General features: G+C 33.2%; 1 annotated feature.

Annotated features, from left to right (window-relative positions):
• Positions 432–1023: an enhancer, noted in NCBI's record as "OCT4-NANOG hESC enhancer chr18:25867001-25867592 (GRCh37/hg19 assembly coordinates)". NCBI's record gives its function as "activates a minimal SCP1, AML or CMV promoter by ChIP-STARR-seq in naive and primed H9 embryonic stem cells {active_cell/tissue: H9 hESC(naive and primed)}" and the evidence as "EXISTENCE:reporter gene assay evidence [ECO:0000049][PMID:30033119]".

Genomic DNA, 1409 nt, shown 5'->3' on the forward strand with positions numbered 1-1409 from the left:
GGGGAGGGATAGCATTAGGGGAAATGCCTAATGTAGATGACTGGTTGATGGGTGCAGCAAACCACCATGACACATGTATACCTATGTAAAAAACCTACATGTTCTGCACATGTATCCCAGAACTTAAAGTATAATAATAATAATAATTAAATAAATAAAAATTACACCACCATGTTGGTACAACATAAAAATATTTGGTTAGCTACTTTTAGTTAAATGACCAATTAAAATTCTTAAGCCTCTTGTTTCTTTGTAAATAGCAAAATCATGGTACTTGGCTCATTTTATTTTCACTTTTAGTGTGCTGTAAAACAGCACTATCTCCTAAAAGGAGATAGTCAACTGTTATGTCACTTGCCTTAGTTTGTATATTAAAAGATAACTGGCCTAACCATTTCTCAGTATGAAATGTAGTTTACTTTGCTTAGGAGTTTGAGAAGGCTATACCCATTTATCAAAGTTCAGTAACTTTTATTATCATCTAAATATGCTTAGAATGTATTTCTTATGGTTGAAAATACGTTTTAAGCATTTTTCTCATAGTGGAGTTAGCATTATGTTGCACTATCATTTGAAATCAAATTTGTTTTTGGAAAAATGAATGCTGTTGGAAGATATAGTTTTCCTTGATATCTGTTAACTCTATCAGGCAATGCAGTGTAATGGAAATGGCAGCAAGGTGTTGGTGTTAGACAGATCTGCATGTGAATGGCCAACAGATTAACCACTTGGCCTCTTGTTGATTCCTGAACTTTTGTTTGTCTTGGCCTCTGGTACTGTTAACATGTGGCCTCATCCTACTGACTGTCTCTTTGGGTGTTTACCCTTTTGACCATCTATTCCTTGCTAAAGTCCATGACTTGAAGCAACCATTTTTTGCTCATAATATTTTTCTGGGAACTTGAATTAAGCCTGCTAAAGCTTTGTCCTGTACTCTTTGGCTTATAATCAGGCTAAAAAATGTTGATGTGGAAAGGTTAGCAATGTGCTAAAAAAATTAAGTTAAAGTATTTATATTAAAGTATTAAAGTATTTATATGATATAAACATTATTTTAGGTGGAAACAACATGACTCAGACTAAAATTTTCATGCTCTGGAAGTGCTTTATTTCCTTTCACATTTTTAAAAGTTAATTTCAGATCACAGTGGTGCTCCCAAGTATAATTTGAAATGTTTGAAGTCATATCCATAATAGCTGGCAGTCTGATATATAAGAAAAATCAGTAGGACCTCACAAAAATGCTATTCTTAGTCAAAATAACAGATATCACATTTATGAGACTTAATAAAAAAGTAGATAGATTGGATAGCAAAATAAAGTAATGGTGTTTAAGGAAGCCTCTCAAGTGAGCTAATACATGCATCTCATTATGATCCCTGTCTGCTTTAGAATGTTGGACGCAAGGA

This window comes from Homo sapiens, chromosome 18 (genome assembly GCF_000001405.40).
Source record: "Homo sapiens chromosome 18, GRCh38.p14 Primary Assembly".
In the NCBI taxonomy this organism is placed as follows: Eukaryota; Metazoa; Chordata; class Mammalia; order Primates; family Hominidae; genus Homo; species Homo sapiens.